Genomic DNA, 18143 nt, shown 5'->3' with positions numbered 1-18143 from the left:
CTGTTAGGAACTGGGCCACACAGTAGGAGGGGAATGGTGGGCAAGTGAGCATTACCGCCTGAGCTCTGCTTCCTGTCAGATCAGTGGTGGCATTAGATTCTTATAGCAGCAGGAGCCCTATTGTGAACTGCACATGTGAGGGATCTAGGTTGCATGCTCCTTATAAGAATCTAATGCCTGATGATCTGAGGTGGAACAGCTTCATTCTAAAACCATTCCCCACCCCATCCATGGAAAAATTGTCTTCCACAAAACTGGTCCCAGTGGTGCCAAAAAGGTTGGGGACCACTGGTTTAGAGAATTCTCATATGCTAATATCCAGTTTCCCTAATTAGCATCTTAATTAGCAGGTACATTTGTCATAATGAATGAACCTTTATTGATACATTATTAACTGACATCCATACTTCGTTCAGATTTTCTTAGTTTTTGCCTAATGCCTTTTTTCTCTTCCAGGGTTCCATCCAGGATACCACATTACATTTTTAGTTGTCATGTTTCTAGGTTCCTCTTGGCTGTGACAGTTTCTCAGACTTTCCTTGTTTTTTGTGACCATAACCTGTTTGAGGAATACTAGTCCAGTGTTTTGTGGAGTTTCCTTTAATTGAGATTTGTATGATGTTTTTGTCATGATTAGAATGGGGTTATGGGTGGCCGGGTGCGGTGGCTCACGCCTGTAATCCCAGCACTTTGGGAGACTGAGGAGGGCAGATCACGAGGTCAGGAGATCACGACCATCCTGGCTAACACAGTGAAACCCCATCTCTACTAAAAAAATACAAAAAAATTAGCTGGGCATGGTGGCGGGTACCTGTAGTCCCAGCTACTCGGGAGGCTGAGGCAGGAGAATGGCGTGAACCCAGGAGGCGGAGCTTGCAGTGAGTGGAGATCGAGCCACTGCACTCCAGCCTGGGCAACTGAGCGAGACTCTGTCTCAAAAAAAAAAAAAAAAAAAAAAAAAAGAATGGGGTTATGGGTTTTTAGGTGGAAGACCTTAGAGATAAATTGTCATTCTCATCATACGATATCAAGGGTACATATTATGACCATGACTTATCGCTGTTGATGTTGACTTGTATCACATGCCTTACACAGTGTAGTGTTTGCTGGGTTTTTCCACTCTAAAGGTATTCTTTTTTCCCTCTACACATATACTGTATTCTTCAGAAGGAAGTCAGTATAGGTACCTCACACTTAAGGAGTGGGGAGTTTTGCTTCACCTTCTTGAGCATGGAGTAACTAATATTTTTGGAATTCTTTTGCAAAAATTTTCTTTTTCCTCCTATTTATTTATGTATTTATTCATTCAGTAATGAATTTATATCAGTATGGACTCATGGATATTTACATTTTATCCTTTTAGTTGTAGTCTAATACTGCTTTATTTATTTTGTTGCTCAAATTGTTTCTGCTTTGGCCATTGGGAGCTCTTTCAGTTGGCCCTTGTGGCCCTTTGATATATCCCCATCATTATGATTTCTTTTTTTTATTTTTGAACACTTCCTTTCTGGTAGTATAAGATGCTCCAGGCTCATTTTTTTTTTTTGAGACAGTTGCTGTCTCACTGTGTTGCCCAGGCTGGTGGAGTGCAGTGGCATGATCACAGCTCACTGCAACCTCAGCCTCCCAGGCTCAAGCCATCCTCCCACTTCAGCCGCTCAATAGCTGGGACTACAGGTGCCTGCCATCACACCTGGCTAATTTTTGTATTTTATTTTTTAGAGATGGAGTTTCGCTGTGTTGCCCAGGCTGGTCTCGAACTCCTGAGCTCAAGTGATTCTCCTGTCTGGGCCTCCCAGAGGGTTGGGATTACAGGCGTGAGCCACCACACCCGGCCAGGCTTACCTTGTACATTTCTTGCCTCAGTCCTAGAATCAGCCATTTCTCCAAGGAATACTGGTTACCTTATTGGAGAATAGTATTTGAATCCAAAGCTTGGTTCCTAGATGTGCTCGTTGGAGTATCATTGTTTATAGGGCCTCTCAGCTGACAGAGCAAGGATATACATGTTTTTGTACTAACCTATGTATGTATGTATGTGTGCATATACATACACATATGTATATGTATAATGGCTTGCTTTTTTTAATTGCTTTTGAACAGTAAAGTGATAAAATTCAATTATTTTTTCTTGTATAATATATGTTTTTCTGTGTAAGAAATACTTGCCTAATGTAAGGTCACAATACTTTATCCTGTTTTTTCTTTTACAGTGTTTATAGTTTTAACCCCTACATGTAGGTGTATGGTCCTTTTCAAAAACAATTTTTCCTGAATTCTAGTGTGAGGTAAATATCTTTTATTTCCTTTGTATATTTTTCTAGTACAGTTTCTTGAAAATGTTATTCTTTCTCCATTGAATTGCCTTGCCACCTTTGGCAAAAATTGACCATTTCTCTGTGTGTCTATTTCTGAACTCTATTCCATCTCTTTCATCTATATATCTAAATTTATGTCAATACCACACTCTTGAAATCTTGAAATCAGGCAATGTGAGTCCCTAAATTTCTTTTCAAGATTTCTTTGCTATTCTAGTTCCTTTGCATTTACATAAGTATTTTAAAACCAACTTGTCAATCTTTACAAGAAGAGAAAGACTGCCGGAATTTATATTGGGATTGTGTTGAACCTGTTGATCAATTTAATAATACTGAATTTTCCAGTTCATGAACATAGTATTTCTTTCCATTTATTGGATTTAAAAAATATCTCTCAAGATTATTTTGTGGTTTCCAGTGTACAGATCTTGTATGTATTATGTTTATTCCCAAGTATTTCATGTTTTGATGCTATGATAATTGATATTAAAAACATTTAATTTCCAATAGTTTATTACTACTATATAGAAAAAGTTTTTGTTTATATATTGATCTTGTATCCTATGAGCTTACTAACTCAGTGGTTCACTTGGCTTGTTTTTAAAATATAGACAAATATAGGAATAACTATTTGTTTTTCATAAATAAGTTTTTATGTGGTTGAGAAGGTTGAGAAAGTTCCCTTCTATTCCTTGTTTTCCAGGATCTTTTTTTTTTTTTTAAATCACGAATGGATGTTGGATTTAGTTAGCCTCTTTATCTGTATCTACTGAGATGATCATATGGTTTTTTCCTTTTTCTCTTAATATGGTGAATTACATTGATTTTTTTTTAAAATTATACTTTAAGTTCTAGGGTAGATGTACACGACGTGCAGGTTTGTTACATAGCTACACATGTGCCATGTTGGTTTGCTGCACCCATCAACTCGTCATTTACATTAGGTATTTCTCCTAATGCTATCCCTCCCCCAGCCCCCCACCGCCTGACAGGCCCTGGTGTGTGATGTTCTCCGCCCTGTGTCCAAGTGTTTTCATTATTCAGTTCCCATCTATGAGTGAGAACATGCGGTGTTTGGTTTTCTGTCCTCGTGATAGTTTGCTGAGAATGATGGTTTCCAGCTTCTTCCATGTCCCTGCAAAGGACATGAACTCATCCTTTTTTATGGCTGCATAGAATTCCATGGTGTATATGTGCCACATTTCTTAATCCAGTCTATCATTGATGGATGTTTAGGTTGGTTCCAAGTCTTTGCTATTGTGAATAGTGCTGAAATAAACGTATGTGTGCATGTGTCTTTATAGTAGCATTATTTATAATCTTTTGGGCATATACCCAGTAATGGGATCGCTGGGTCAAATGGTCTTTCTAGTTCTAGATCCTTGAGGAATTGCCACATTGTCTTCCACAATGGTTGAACTAATTTACACTCCCACCAACAGTGTAAAAGCGTTCTTATTTCTCCACATCCTCTCCAGCATCTGTTGTTTCCTGAATTTTTAATGATCGCCGTTCTAATTGGTGTGAGATGGTATCTCATTGTGGTTTTGATTTTCATTTCTCTGATGAGCAGTGATGATGAGCATTTTTTCATGTGTCTGTTGGCTGCATAAATGTCTTCTATTGAGAAGTGTCTGTTCATATCCTTTGCCTACTTTTTGATGGGGTTTTTTTCTTGTAAATTTATTTAAGTTCTTTGCAGATTCTGGATATTAGCCCTTTGTCAGATGAGTAGATTGCAAAAATTTTCTCCCATTCTGTAGGTTGCCTGTTCACTCTGATGGTAGTTTCTTTTTGCTGTGCAGAAGCTCTTTAGTTTAATTAGATCCCATTTGTCTATTTTGGCTTTTGTTGCCATTGCTTTTGGTGTTTTAGTTATGAAGTCTTTGCCCCTGCCTGTGTCCTGAATGGTATTGCCTAGGTTTTCTTCTAGGGTTTTTATGGTTTTAGGTCTAACATTTAAGTCTTTAATCCATCTTGAATTAATTTTTATATAAGGTGTAAGGAAGGGATCCAGTTTCAGCTTTCTACATAAGGCTAGCCAGTTTTCCCAGCACCATTTATTAAATAGGGAATCATTTCCCCATTTCTTGTTTTTGTCAGTTTTGTCAAAGATCAGATGGTTGTAGATGTGTAGTGTTATTTCTGAGGCCTCTGTTCTGTTCCATTGGTCTATATATCTGTTTTGGTACCAGTACTATGCTGTTTTGGTTACTGTAGCCTTGTAGTATAGTTTGAAGTCAGGTAGCATGATGCCTCCAGCTTTGTTCTTTTTGCTTAGGATTGTCTTGGCAATGCAGGCTCTTTTTTTGGTTCCATATGAACTTTAAAGTAGTTTTTCCAATTCTGTAAAGAAAGTCATTGGTAGCTTGATGGGGATGGCATTGAATCTATAAATTACCTTGGGCACTATGGCCATTTTCATGACATTGATTCTTCCTACCCATGAGCATGGACTGTTCTTCCATTTGTTTGTGTCCTCTTTTATTTTGTTGAGCAGTGGTTTGTAGTTCTCCTTGAAGAGGTCCTTCACATCCCTTGTAAGTTGGATTCCTAGGTATTTTATTCTCTTTGTAGCAACCGTGAATGGGAGTTCACTCATGATTTGGCTCTCTGTTTGTCTGTTATTGGTGTATAGGAATGCTTGTGATTTTTGCACATTGATTTTGTATCCTGAGACTTTGCTGAAGTTGCTTATCAGCGTAAGGAGATTTTGGGCTGAGATGATGGGGTTTTCTAAATATACAATCATGTCATCTGCAAACAGGGACAATTTGACTTCTTCTTTTCCTAATTGAATACCCTTTATTTCTTTCTCCTGCCTGATTGCTCTGGCCAGAACTTCCAACACTATGTTGAATAGGAGTGCTGAGAGAGGGCATGCTTGTCTTGTGCCAGTTTTCAAAGGGAATGCTTCCAGCTATTGCCCATCCAGTATGATATTGGCTGTGGGTTTGTCATAGATAACTCTTATTATTTTGAGATACATTCCATCAGTACCTAGTTTATTGAGAGTTTTTAGCATGAAGGCTGTTGAATTTTGTCGAAGGCCTTTTCTGCATCTATTGAGATAATCATGTGGTTTTTGTTGTTGGTTCTATTTATGTGATGGATTATGTTTATTGATTTGTGTATGTTGAACCAGCTTTGCATCCCAGGGATGAAGCCAACTTGATTGTGATGGATAAGCTTTTTGATGTGCTGCTGGATTCGGTTTGCCAGTATTTTGTTGAGGATTTTTGCATCGATGTTCAACAAGGATATTGGTCTAAAATCCTCTTCTTCTGTTGTGTCTCCGCCAGGCTTTGGTATAAGGATGATGCTGGCCTCATAAAATGAGTTAGGGAGGATTCTCTCTTTTTCTATTGATTGGAATAGTTTCAGAAGGAATGATACCAGCTCCCCTTTGTACCTCTGGTAGAACTCGGCTGTGAATCCGTCTGTCCTGGACTTTTTTTGGTTGGTAGGCTATTAATTATTGCCTCAATTTCAGAGCCTGTTATTGGTCTATTTAGAGATTCAACTTCTTCCAGGTTTAGTCTTGGGAGGGTATGTGTGTCCAGGAATTTATCCATTTCTTCTAGATTTTCCAATGTGTTTGCATAGAGTTGTTTATAGTATTCTCTGATGGTAGTTTGTATTTCTGTGGGATTGGTGGTCATATCTTCTTTATCATTTTTTATTGCATCTATTTGATTCTTCTCTCTTTTCTTCTTTATTAGTGTTGCTAGCAGTCTATCTATTTTGTTGATCTTTTCAAAAAACCAGCTCCTGGATTCATTGATTTTGTGAAGGGTTTTTTGTGTCTCTGTCTCCTTCAGTTCTGCTCTAAACTTAGTTATTTCTTTGCCTTCTGCTAGCTTTTGAATTTGTTTGCTCTTGCTTCTCTAGTTCTTTTAATTGTGATATTACGGTGTTGATTTTGGATTTTTCCTGTTTTCTCTTGTGGGCATTTAGTGCTATAAATTTCCGTCTACACACTGCTTTAAATGTGTCCCAGAGATTCTGGTATGTTGTGTCTTTGTTCTCATTGGTTTCAAAGAACATCTTTATTTCTGCCTTCATTTTGTTATTTACCCAGTAGTCATTCAGGAGCAGGTTGTTCAATTTCCATGTAATTGTGCATTTTTTTTTTTTTTTTACGAGTTTCACTCTTGTTGCCCAGGCTGGAGTGCAATGGTGTGATCTTGGCTCACTGCAACCTCCGCCTCCTGGGTTCAAGCGATTCTCCTGCCTCAGCCCCCCGAGTATGTGGGATTACAGGCATGCGCCACCATGCCTGGCTAGTTTTTTTGTATTTTTAGTAGAGATGGGGTTTCTCCATGTTGGTCAGGCTGGTCTCGAACTCCCGACCTCAGGTGATCTGCCCTCCTCGGCCTCCCAAAGTGCTGGGATTACAGGCGTGAGCGACTGCACCTGGCAGTTGTGCAGTTTTGAGTGAGTTTCTTAATCCTGAGTTCTAATTTGATTGCACTGTGGTCTGAGAGACAGTTTGTTGTGATTTCTGTTCTTTTACATTTGCTGAGGAGTGCTTTATTTCCAATTATGTGGTCAATTTTAGAATAAGTGCAGTGTGGTGCTGGGAAGAATGTATATTCTGTTGATTTGGGGTGGAGACTTCTGTAGGTGTCTATTAGGTCTGCTTGGTGCAGAGCTGAGTTCAAGCCCTGGATATCCTTGTTAACCTTCTGTCTTGTTGATCTGTCTAATATTGACAGTGGGATGTTAAAGTCTCCCATTATTATTGTGTGGGAGTCTAAATCTCTTTTTAGGTCTCTCAGAACTTCCTTTATGAATCTGGGTGCTCTTGTATTTGGTGCATATATATTTAGGATAGTTAGCTCTTTTTGTTGAATTGATCCCTTTACCATTATGTAATGGCCTTCTTTGTCTGTTTTGATCTTTGTTGGTTTACAGTCTGTTTTATCAGAGACTAGGATTGCAACCCCTGCTTTTTTTTGCTTTCCATTTGCTTGTTAGATCTTCCTCCACCCCTTTATTTTGAGCCTATGTGTGTCTCTGCACGTGAGATGGGTTTCCTGAATACAGCACACTGATGGGTCTTGACTCTTTATACAATTTGCCAGTCTGTGTCTTTTAGTTGGGGCATTTAGCCCATTTACATTTAAGGTTAATATTGTGATGTGTGAATTTGATCCTGTCATTATGATGTTAGCTGGTTATTTTGCCGTTAATTGATACAGTTTCTTCATAGCATTGATGGTCTTTACAATTTGGCATGTTTTTGCAGTGCCTGGTACTGGTTGTTCCTTTCCATGTTTAGTGCTTCCTTCAGGAGTTCTTGTAAGGCAGGCCTGGTGGTGACAAAATCTCTCAGCATTTGCTTGTCTGTAAAGGATTTTATTTCTCCTTCACTTAGGAAGCTTAGTTTGGCTGGATATGAAATTCTGAGTTGAAAATTCTTTTCTTTAAGAATGTTGAATATTGGCCCCCACTCTCTTCTGGCTTGTAGGGTTTCCACCAAGAAATCAGCTGTTAGTCTGATGGGCTTCCCTTTGTGGGTAACCTGACATTTCTTTCTGGCTGCCCTTAACATTTTTTCCTTCATTTCAACCTTGGTGAATCTGACAATTATGTGTCTTGGAGTTGCTCTTCTCGAGGAGTATCTTTGTGGTGTTCTCTGTATTTCCTGGATTTGAATGTTGGCCTGCCTTGCTAGGTTGGGGAAGTTCTCCTGGATGATATCCTGAAGAGTGTTTTCCAAGTTGGTTCCATTCTGCCTGTCACTTTGAGGTATACCAATCAGACGTAGATTTGGTCTTTTCACATAGTCCCATATTTCTTGAAGGCTTTGTTTGTTTCTTTTTACTCTTTTTTCTCTATTCTTGTCTTCTCACTTTATTTCATTAATTTAATCTTCAATCACTGATATCCTTTTTTCCACTTGATTGAATCAGCTATTGAAGATTGTGCGTGTGTCACAAAGTTCTCATGCCATGGTTTTCAGCTCCATCAGGTCATTTAAGGTCTTTTCTACACTGTTTATTCTAGTTAGCCATTTGTCTAACCTTTTTTCAAGGTTTTTAGCTTTTTGCGATGTGTTAGAACATGCTCCTTTAGCTCGGAGAAGTTTGTTATTACCGACCTTCTGAAGCCTACTTCTGTCATCTCCTCAAAGTCATTCTCCATCCAGCTTTGTTCCATTGCTGGCGAAGAGCTGTGATCCTTTGGAGAAGAGGCGCTCTGGTTTTTAGAATATTCAGTTTTTCTGCTCTGGTTTCTCCTCATCTTTGTGGTTTTATCTACCTTTTGTCTTTGATGTTGGTGACCTACAGATGGGGTTTTTGGTGTGGATGTCCTTTTTGTTGATGTTGATGCTATTTCTTTCTGTTTGTTAGTTTTCCTTCTAACAGTCATGTCCCTCAGCTGCAGGTCTGTTGGAATTTGCTAGAGGTCCACTCCAGACCCTGTTTGCCTGGGTATCACCAGCAGAGGCTGCAGAACAGCAAATATTGCAGAATGGCAAATATTGCTACCTGATCCTTTCTCTGGAAGCTACATCTCAGAGGGGCACCCACCTGTATGAGGTGTCTGTCAGCCCCTACTGGGAGGTGTCTTCCAGTTAGGCTACACGGGGCTCAGAGACCCACTTGAGGAGGCAGTCTGTTCGTTCTCAGAGCTGAAATGAAATGCTGGGAGAACCACTGCTCTCTTTAGAGCTATCAGACAGGGACGTTTAAGTCTGCAGAAGTTTCTGCTGCCTTTTGTTCAGCTATGCCCTCCCCACAGAGGTGGAGTTTGTAGAGGCAGTAGGCCTTGCTGAGCTGCGGTGGGCTCCACCCAGTTCGAGCTTCCCAGCCACTTCGTTTACCTATTCAAGCCTCAGCAATGGTGGACGCCCCTTCCCGCACCAGGCTGCAGCCTCGCAGGTTGATCTCAGACTGCTGCGCTAGTAGTGAGCAAGGCTCCATGGGTGTGGGACCTGCCGAGCCAGGCATGGGAGAGAATCTCCTGGTCTGCCGGCTGCTAAGACCATGGGAAAAGCACAGTATTTGGTCAGGAGTGTCCTGTTTTTCCAGGTACAGTCTGTCATGGCAGACTGTCAAAGGGAAATCCTCCGACCCCTTGTGCTTCCTGGGTGAGGCGATGCCCCACCCAGCTTCGGCTCACCCTCCGTGGCCTCCACCCACTGTCCAACCAGTCCCAGTGAGATGAACCAGGTACCTCAATTGGAAATGCAGAAATCACTTGTCTTCTGCATTGGTCATGTTGGGAGCTGCAGACCGGAGCTGTTCCTATTTGGCCATCATGGAATGGAAGGTGATTTTTTTTTAACTGTTTAATCAGCCCTGCATTTCTGGAATAAACGCTACTTGGTTATGATGTATTATCATTTTTAAGTTAATTAAGTTAAGGAAATTCTCCTCTATTCCTGGATTTCTGAGAGTTTTTAACATCATGAATGGATACTGAATTATTTTTAGGATGTTTTTGCAGCAAGTATTGATATGATCTTGTGATTTTTCCTGGTCTGTTAATTGATTTTCTAATGTTGGACTAGTCTTGTATTACTGGGATGTATTTCACTTGGCTATAATGTATTGTTCTTTTTATATATTGCTGGATTAGATTTGTTAATATTTTGTTAAGGATTTTTGCATGTATATTCAAGAGGGATGATGTTCCTCATTCTGAAGAAATTTGTAGCATTCATTGCTTATTAGAAAAGAAGGAAGATCTCAAATCAGTTACTTAACCTATCATTTTAAGAAACTAGAAAAAGAGAAGCATGTCATATCCAAAGTATACAAAAAGAAAAAAAATTATACAAAAGAAAAAAAGTAGAAATCAATGAAATAGAAAACAGAAAGTCAACCAAACCAATAGTTAAGTTAGTTCTTTAAAAGATTAATAAAATTTATCAACATCAAGCCAGACTGATTAGGAATGTAAAAGAAGAGTCAGACATCACTAATATGAGCAATGAGAGAAGGGATGTTTTGATATATTTTTGGTAATATCTCCTAATATGCTTTTACTTTTAGCTGTCTATGCTCTTATAATTAAGTACAGTTTCTTGTAAAGTTTTCTGACAGTCAGTGAGCCTCTAATTCAAGTGCTTAGACAATTTGAATATAATTTTTTTTTTTTTTTGAGACAGTGTTTCGCTTTCATTGACCAAGCTGGAGTACAGTGGTGCTATCTTGGCTCACTGTAACCTCTGCCTTCTGGTTTCAAGTGATTCTCCTGCCTCAGCCTCCCGAGTAGCTGGGATTACAGGTGCCCGCCACCATGCCCAGCTAATTTTTTTATTTTTAATAGAGACAGGATTTCACCATGTTGGCCAGGCTGGTCTTGAACTCCTGACCTCGTGATACGCCTGCCTTGGCCTCCCAAAGTGCTGGGATTACAGGTGTGCGCCACTGTGCCCAGCTAAATTTAATGTAATTGTTGATATGGCTGCATATAAAGCAATCATCTCGTTATTTTCTATTCCTTTCATCTCTACTTTGTTCTTATTTCTTCTTCTTATGCTATCTTTTGAGGATTTAAAAAAAATGAACCATTTTTTTCTCCACTTTTGTCCTATTAGCTATACTTCTTTTATTTTTTTAGTAGTTGCCCTACCATTTGCAAAATACACTTTTGGATTATCATAGTCTACTTTCAAATTATATTAATATTATAGGCCTTCATGTATAATGTCAGAAGCTTGTAACATTACACTTCCATTCATTCCTCACAATCTTTGTGCTACTTGTGCCCTATAGTTTGCACCTGTATATGTTATAAACCCCATGATACATTGTTAGTATTTTTGCTTTAAACAATTATCATTTGAAACACTTTGAAAATGAGATAAAAGTTCTTTATATCTTCCCACTTATTTAGAGTATTAATCACTTGCATTCTTTTGCATATCCCAGATTTACATGTGGTGTCTTTTTTGTTTGGCCTGTAGAATATCCTTTAACATTACTTATAGTGTAGGTTTGCTGGTGAAAAATTATCCCAATTTTTATGTGTCTGAAGAAGTCTTTATTTTGCCTTTACTTAATGAAGACATTTTGTAGTTTTCTCAGTTTTTAGTTTGTTTCCTCTCTTAGTTCTTTAAAGAGATTACTCCATTGTCTTCTGTCTTGCATTGTTTCTGACCAGAAATCTGCTTTAATATTTTTGTTCATTTTCACATGTGTCTTTTTGCTCTTGTTGCTCTTAAGATTTTATTGCTGGTTTTCAGCATTTTGATTATGATGTACTCTGTTGTATTTTTATTCATATTTCTTTTATTTGGGGATTGTTGAGCTTCTTGGATTTGTATGTTCATAGTGTTTATTAAGTTTGGATAATTTTTGGCTAATATTTTTATTGTTCATCCATTTGTCTACTTTTATTTGGGACTCCAGTTACGTGCATGTTGGATCATTTGATATTTCCCATTCTTCTCCAGTACTGTTTTTTTCTTTCTTTTCCTCCTCCTTTTCTTTTTCTTCTTTTTCCTTTTCTTAGTATTTTTTTCACTTTGTCATTTATTTGGATAATTTTTATTGCTGTATTATTACGTTTATTGCTATTTTCTTCTGCAGTGCCAAATTTACTGTTAACCATTTTCAAAGTGCCTTTACCTTAAATTATTGTCTACTTCATCTCTAAAAATTTTTATTTTTATTTATTTATTTTTTTTTGAGACAGTGTGTTGCTCTGTCACCCAGGATGGAGTGCAGTGGCATGATCTCAGCTCACTGCAGCCTCCACCTCCCGGGTTCAAGTGATTCTCCTGCCTCAGCTTCCTGAGTAGCTGGGATTACAGGTGAGCACCACCATGCCCAGCTAATTTTTGTATTTTTAGTAGAGATGGGGTTTCACCATGTTGGCCAGGCTGGTCTCGAATGCCTGACCTTGTAATCCTCCCGCCTTGGCCTCCCAAAGTGCTGGGATTACAGGTGTGAGCTGCTGTGCCTGGTCAAAAATTTTTACAGTTGTGTTTTCTTTCCTTCTTTTGCTAATGCTTTCATATACCTACCTGAACATATAGAGTATGTTTATATGATCGAGTTTAACATTGTTAGCTAACATTAAAATTGTTTGCTAATTCGGTCATTGTTGTCATTTCTGCGTTTGTTATTATTTGGTATTTATTCTGGTTGTGGGCCATATTATTCTGCTTACTTGCATGTCCGTACATCCTTCCCAACATGTGTTGTTATCTGTATGATTATAGCCATCCTTGTGGGTTTGAAGTAGTATTTTGTTGTGGGTTTTGATTTGCCTTTTCCTGATGACAAAAGATGTTGAACATTTTTCTTTTTCTTTTTTTGAGACAGAGTCTCGCCCTGTCACCCAGGCTGGAGTGCAGTGGTGCAAGATCTTGGCTCACTACAACCTCTGCCTCCTGGGTTCAAGCGATTCTCGTGCCTCAGCCTCCTGAGTAGCTGCGATTACAGATGACCACCACCATGTCCAGCTGATTTTTGTATTGTTAGTAGAGACAGGTTCTCACCATGTTGGCCAGGCTTGTTTTGAAGTCCTGGCCTCAAGTGATCTGCCTGCCTCGGCCTCCCAAAGTGCTGGGATTACAGGTGTGAGCCACCATGGCTGGCCACATTTTTCTGTTTTTAGAATTGATTTTTATCTATTTATTTTTTAGAGACAGGGTCTCACTTTGTTGCCCAGGCTAGAGTACAATGGCATGAACATCTTTTCATGTGCTTGCTGTTGATTTATATATCTTATTTGGAGAAATGTTAATTCATATTCTTTTCCCATTTTTAAATTGTGTCATCTTTTTGTTTTAGAGCTGTAGAATTTTTTTAAATATATATTCTGGATATAAATCCCTTATTAGATACATGGCTTGAAATTTTTTCTTCCATTTTGTGTTTTTTTCCCCCTATTTTCTTTATGGTGTCCTTTGAAATAAAAGTTTTAAATTTTGATGAAGTCCTATTTACCTAGTTTTTTCTTTGGTTGTATTTTTGGTGTCAAATCTGAAACTATTTTGTTATCCAAGGTTATGAACATTTGTTGTTATGTTTTCTTTGAAGAGTTAGGTAGTTTTAGCTCTTACATACAGGGCTTTGGTCCACTTTGAGTTAATTTTTATACATGGTGTGAGATAGGGGTCCAACTTCATTTTCTTACATGTGGCTATCTAATTGTCCCAGTACCATTTATTGAAAAGACTATACCTTCTGGCCAGGCGCGGTGGCTCATGCCTGTAATCCCAGCACTTTGGGAGGCTGAGGCGGGTGGATCACGAGGTCAGGAGATCGAGACCATCCTGGCTAACACGGTGAAAACCCTGTCTCTACTAAAAATACAAAAAATTAGCTGGGCATGGTAGTGGGTGGCTGTAGTCCCACCTACTCAAGAGGCTGAGGCAGGAGAATGGCGTGAACCCAGGAGGCAGAGCTCGCAGTGAGCCGAGATCACACCACTGCACTCCAGCCTGCGCAACAGAGCAAGACTCCATCTCAAAAAAAAAAAAAAAAAACCCACGAAAGACTATACCTTCTTTATTGAATTGTTGTGGCAACCTTGTTGAATTGATTATAAGGGTGTATTATTTCTGGATTCTCATTTCTATTATATCAATTTATATATCTATCCTTAGCTATATGTCTATATTACACTGTCTTGATTACTGTAGTTTTGTAGTAAGTATGAGTCCTTCAGTTCTGTTCTTTTCAAGATTGTTTTGGTTATTCTGCGTCTCTTGCATTTCCATATGAATTTTAGGATCAGCCTGTCAGTTTCTGCCAAAAAAAGTAGCTAGGATTTGATAAAGGATTATTTTGAATTAGATTGATTTGGGGAGTATTGCCATTGTAACAACATTAAGCCTTCTGGTCCACGTACATAGAATGTTTTCCACCTATTTAGGTATTGAATTAAAAATTTTTTCAATGTGTTTTACAGTTTTTAGCATACAAGTCTTATACTTCTTTTAAAAATGTATTTCTGTTTTTTTGTTTTTGATGTTATTGTGAGATTTTCTTGATTTCATTTTTAGATTGTTTATCGCTAATATATAAAAATCCAATTGATTTTTGCACATTAATCTCATATCCTGCAACCTTCCTAAACTTATTAATTCTAATTTTTTTTTAGTGGATTCTTTAGGATTTTCTACATACAGCGTCATGTTATCTTGAAACAGACAATTTTACTTCTTCTTTTCCAATCTAGACCTACCTACCTACCTTCCTTCCTTCCTTCCTTCCTTCCTTCCTTTTCTTTCTCTTCCTTCCTTCCTTCCTTCCTTCCTTCCTTCCTTCCTTCCTTCCTTCCTTCCTTCCTTTCTTCCTTTCTTTCTTTCTCCTTTTTGTCTAATTGTCTGGTTAGATTGTACAGTATATTGGTGAATAGGTACTGAGAGTGGATATCCTTGTCTTGTTCCTGATCTTAGGGGAAGGCATCCAGTCTTTCACCATTAATTATAATGTTAACTCTGGACTTTTTTTTTGGCGTAATTATGGTTTGCTGGAGCCTCAATCTCCTAGGCTTCAGTGATCTCCAACCTCAGCCTCCCGAGCAGCTGGCACCACAGATGCATACCACCACACCTGGCTAAGTTTTAAATTTTTTTGTATAGATGGTGTCTCACTGTGTTGCCCAGAGTGGTCTTGAACAGCTAGGCTCAAGTGATCCTTCCACCTTGGCCTCCCTAAGTGTTGGGATTACAGGTGTGAGCCACTGCGCCTGGCCTGGCCTTTTCATTGATCCCCTTTGTCAAGTTAAGAAGTTCCCTTATCTAGTTTTCTGTTTTTCTCATGAAAGGGTGTTGGATTTTGTCAGATGCCTTTTTTCTGTGTTTTTTTTTTGATACAATCATGTTTTTTTCCCTGTATTTTATTAATACAGGGTATTACATTGATTTTCAGATATTAAACCAATCTTACTTTCCTCTTGTTTGTGATATACAGTCCTTTTTATATTTTGCTGGATTTGTTTTGCTGCTATTTCTTTGATGTTTTTTTGGTCAATATTTACAAAGTATATTGATCTGTACTTTGCTGCTGATATCTTTGTCATGTTTTAACATCAGGGTGGTATTGGCATCATACTATGTGTTGGAAAGTATTCTCTCACCTTCTAGCTTTTAGAAAATTTCATGAAGGACTGACATTAATACTTTTTTTAAGACTAATGATATTTTAATTTTTGTTTTTGTCTTTTAGGATTCTCCTTTTACAAATGCAGGAATGGGATCTAATCTAAATCTGTTAGGTGAAATTGAGTGTGATGCCAGCATAATGGATGGAAAATCCTTAAATTTTGGAGCAGTTGGAGCACTGAGTGGTATGTGGGCATTATGACCTACTATCTTTGGAAAATCATGCACGTGACCATTTCATGCCTTCTAAAGATGATTACAGTCTTTTTCACCATTTCTGCTTGGAATAGTGTTTAAAACAAATGTTCTTTTTTTATTGAATTTAAAACATACAGTCTTAGTTATAAGTAGTTTTTGGTTTGAATTTGATCATTCTCCTGTATCCCTTGAAGAGATTAAAGACATTTAAGACATGATTTAGAATATTAATTTTACAATTTGAAATACACACTATATTTTTTGTTGTAAAAAATTTCAGGTAATATAAATAAAATTTACCTTTGATCCTCCAAAAGATCTTTTCTTTCTCATTTCCTTTCCCCGTGGGGTTTAACCAGTAAAAATCCAGTGCTTTTATCTATATTTTTATGTAACAGAAACACAGTTTTATTTTGTGCCTGTATTTGTTTTCTTAAAAAATAAATGTGTTAATTATTATAAACTTTTTAGATTTAAATATAATCTTTTGGAGATTTTTTCCACATCAGTACATAAAAGATATGTCTCATGTTTTATAATTCATTTATTAAAGCAAAATATACATGAAGTATGTATTTTATGTGTACAGCTTCATGAATTTTTAGATGTAGACACCATATAAGCCACCACCTAGATCAAGACATTAAACATTTCCATGTCAAAAGGTAGAACATTTTCATAATCCTGGAAGGACCCCTTATGCTTCTCCTTGGTCCATACTTCTTGTGCTCTCTTCCCTCATGCTAACTTTGGGTGCCATAGATTAATTTGCCTGTTCCTAAAATTTACATGAGTGGGATCAGACACTTCTGTGTCTGTTTTCTTTTGCTTAATGTTATGCCTGTGAGATGGATCCATGTTTTGTGTCAGTAGTATTTTATTTTTTACCACTTAGTAGTATTTCATTGAATGGATATACCATAACTTCTGTATTTACTCTCCTCTTAATGGGCATATGAAATTTCTAGCTTTTTACTTTTTTGAGTAAAGCTTCAGTGAATATTATTTTACATGTCTTTTGGTAGACATATGTACTTCTGTTTTTTTTTTTTTTTTTTTTTTGAGATGGAGTCTCATTCTGTTACCCAGCCTGGAGTGCAGTGGTGCGGAGTCTCATTCTGTTACCCAGCCTGGAGTGCAGTGGTGCGATCTCGGCTCACTGCAACCTCTGCCTCCTGGGTTCAATTGATTCTTCTGCCTCAGCCTCCCAAGTAGCTGGGATTACAGGCACCCACCACAGTGCCTGGCTAATTTTTGCATTTTTAGTAGAAACAGGGTTTCACCATGTTGGCCAGGCTGGTCTTGAACTCCTGACCTCAAGTGATCTGCCAGCTTCAGCCTCCCAAAGTGCTGAGATTATAGGCGTGAGCCACTGTGCCTGGCCACGTATGTACTTCTTTAGGTACATATGCATATATATTTTGTTTTAATAGATACTGCCGGTTTTCAAAAGTAATTGTTGCAGTTTATACTCCTACTAGCAGTGTAGGAGCTTTTCAGTTACTCTGCATCCTTGCCAATTTTTGGTATTGTTAATTGTTTTTAAAATTCAGCCATTTTGATATGTGTGTAGTGGTATTATTGAGTGTCCCTAGTGATTTATGTGTGTAGTGGTATTCAATTTGAGTGTCCCTAGTGACTTATAAGAGCCTTTTCATATGCTTTTTGACCATTTAGATAGCCTTGTTGAGAAGTGCATATTTGCATCTTTTGCAGATTTTTATTTGATTATATCTTTTATTGATTTGTTGGAGTATTTTAAATATTTTACATACAAATCCTTTGTAAGATACATGTATTATGGATATCTTCTCCCAGTCTATGGTTTGCCTTTACAATCTCTTAATGGTGTTTTTTGATGAATAGAAGTTTCTGATTTTAATGAAGTTTAAGTTAGCAACCTTTTCTTTTGTGATTAACTCTTTGTATTTTAAGTTTTTGCCTGTTCAAAGTTATGAAGATAATCTTCATTCTTTCTGTAATTTTATTGTTTTTATCCATCATGTTTAGCTTTCTTATCAAGCTCAGATTAATTTTTGTATATGTAACATAGGGGTCAACATTTATTTATTTTTTCCTCATATGGATATCCAAATGGTCCATTGCCCTCTATTGAAAGGAAGTCTTTTCCTCACAGAATTGTGTTGGGAAATTAGGTGACTGTGTGATAATTTGTTTCTGTACCCTGTTATGGCTGCTTTCAAAAATGAGTTGGGTACTTTTTTTTCCCCCATTCTTTGAAAAGGTTTGTATATGATTGGAATAATTACTTTTTAATTGTTTGAAGGAATTCATAAATTATTTCAAATTAACGGGGTTTTCTTTGTGGGAAGTTTTAAAAAGTAGGATTCAATATTTTTAACATTTATATGATTATATTTTATTTTTCATGTGCGTTTTTCTAGGAATTTGTCTATTTCATATGAGTTGTCAAATTTATTTGCCTGAAGACATTTTAGTTAGCTTTCTTTGTTGATTTCTAGTTTAATTCCACTGTGGCCAGAGAATATACTATGTATGATACCAATCCCTTGAAGCTTTTAGAGACT

The 18143-nt window shown here is 37.6% G+C and overlaps 1 protein-coding gene across 23 annotated transcripts in view; it reads left to right on the top strand.

Moving 5' to 3' along the window:
* The window catches only part of TASP1 (taspase 1), a 534161-nt gene that overhangs the window by 36102 nt on the left and 479916 nt on the right, over positions 1-18143 (top strand). For 19 of the 23 annotated variants that reach the window (XR_001754319.3, XR_007067463.1, NR_136629.2 and 16 more), the window contains one exon: positions 15461-15581. The exons of 2 other annotated variants lie outside the window; for them this stretch is intronic. Coding sequence is in view for 14 of the 21 variants with exons in the window: in XM_047440269.1 (XP_047296225.1) it covers positions 15461-15581 (121 nt within the window). In the remaining 7 variants the exon portion in view is untranslated. Of the gene's footprint in view, positions 1-2213; positions 2289-15460; positions 15582-18143 lie in introns of those variants that run through there. 2 more of the 23 variants (NM_001323604.2, XM_047440276.1) reach the window with 2 other exon arrangements.

The sequence above is a fragment of the Homo sapiens genome, chromosome 20 (genome assembly GCF_000001405.40).
Source record: "Homo sapiens chromosome 20, GRCh38.p14 Primary Assembly".
In the NCBI taxonomy this organism is placed as follows: Eukaryota; Metazoa; Chordata; class Mammalia; order Primates; family Hominidae; genus Homo; species Homo sapiens.
The sequence above is the reverse complement of the archived record's forward strand: the minus strand, read 5'-3'. Positions and strand labels throughout refer to the sequence as shown.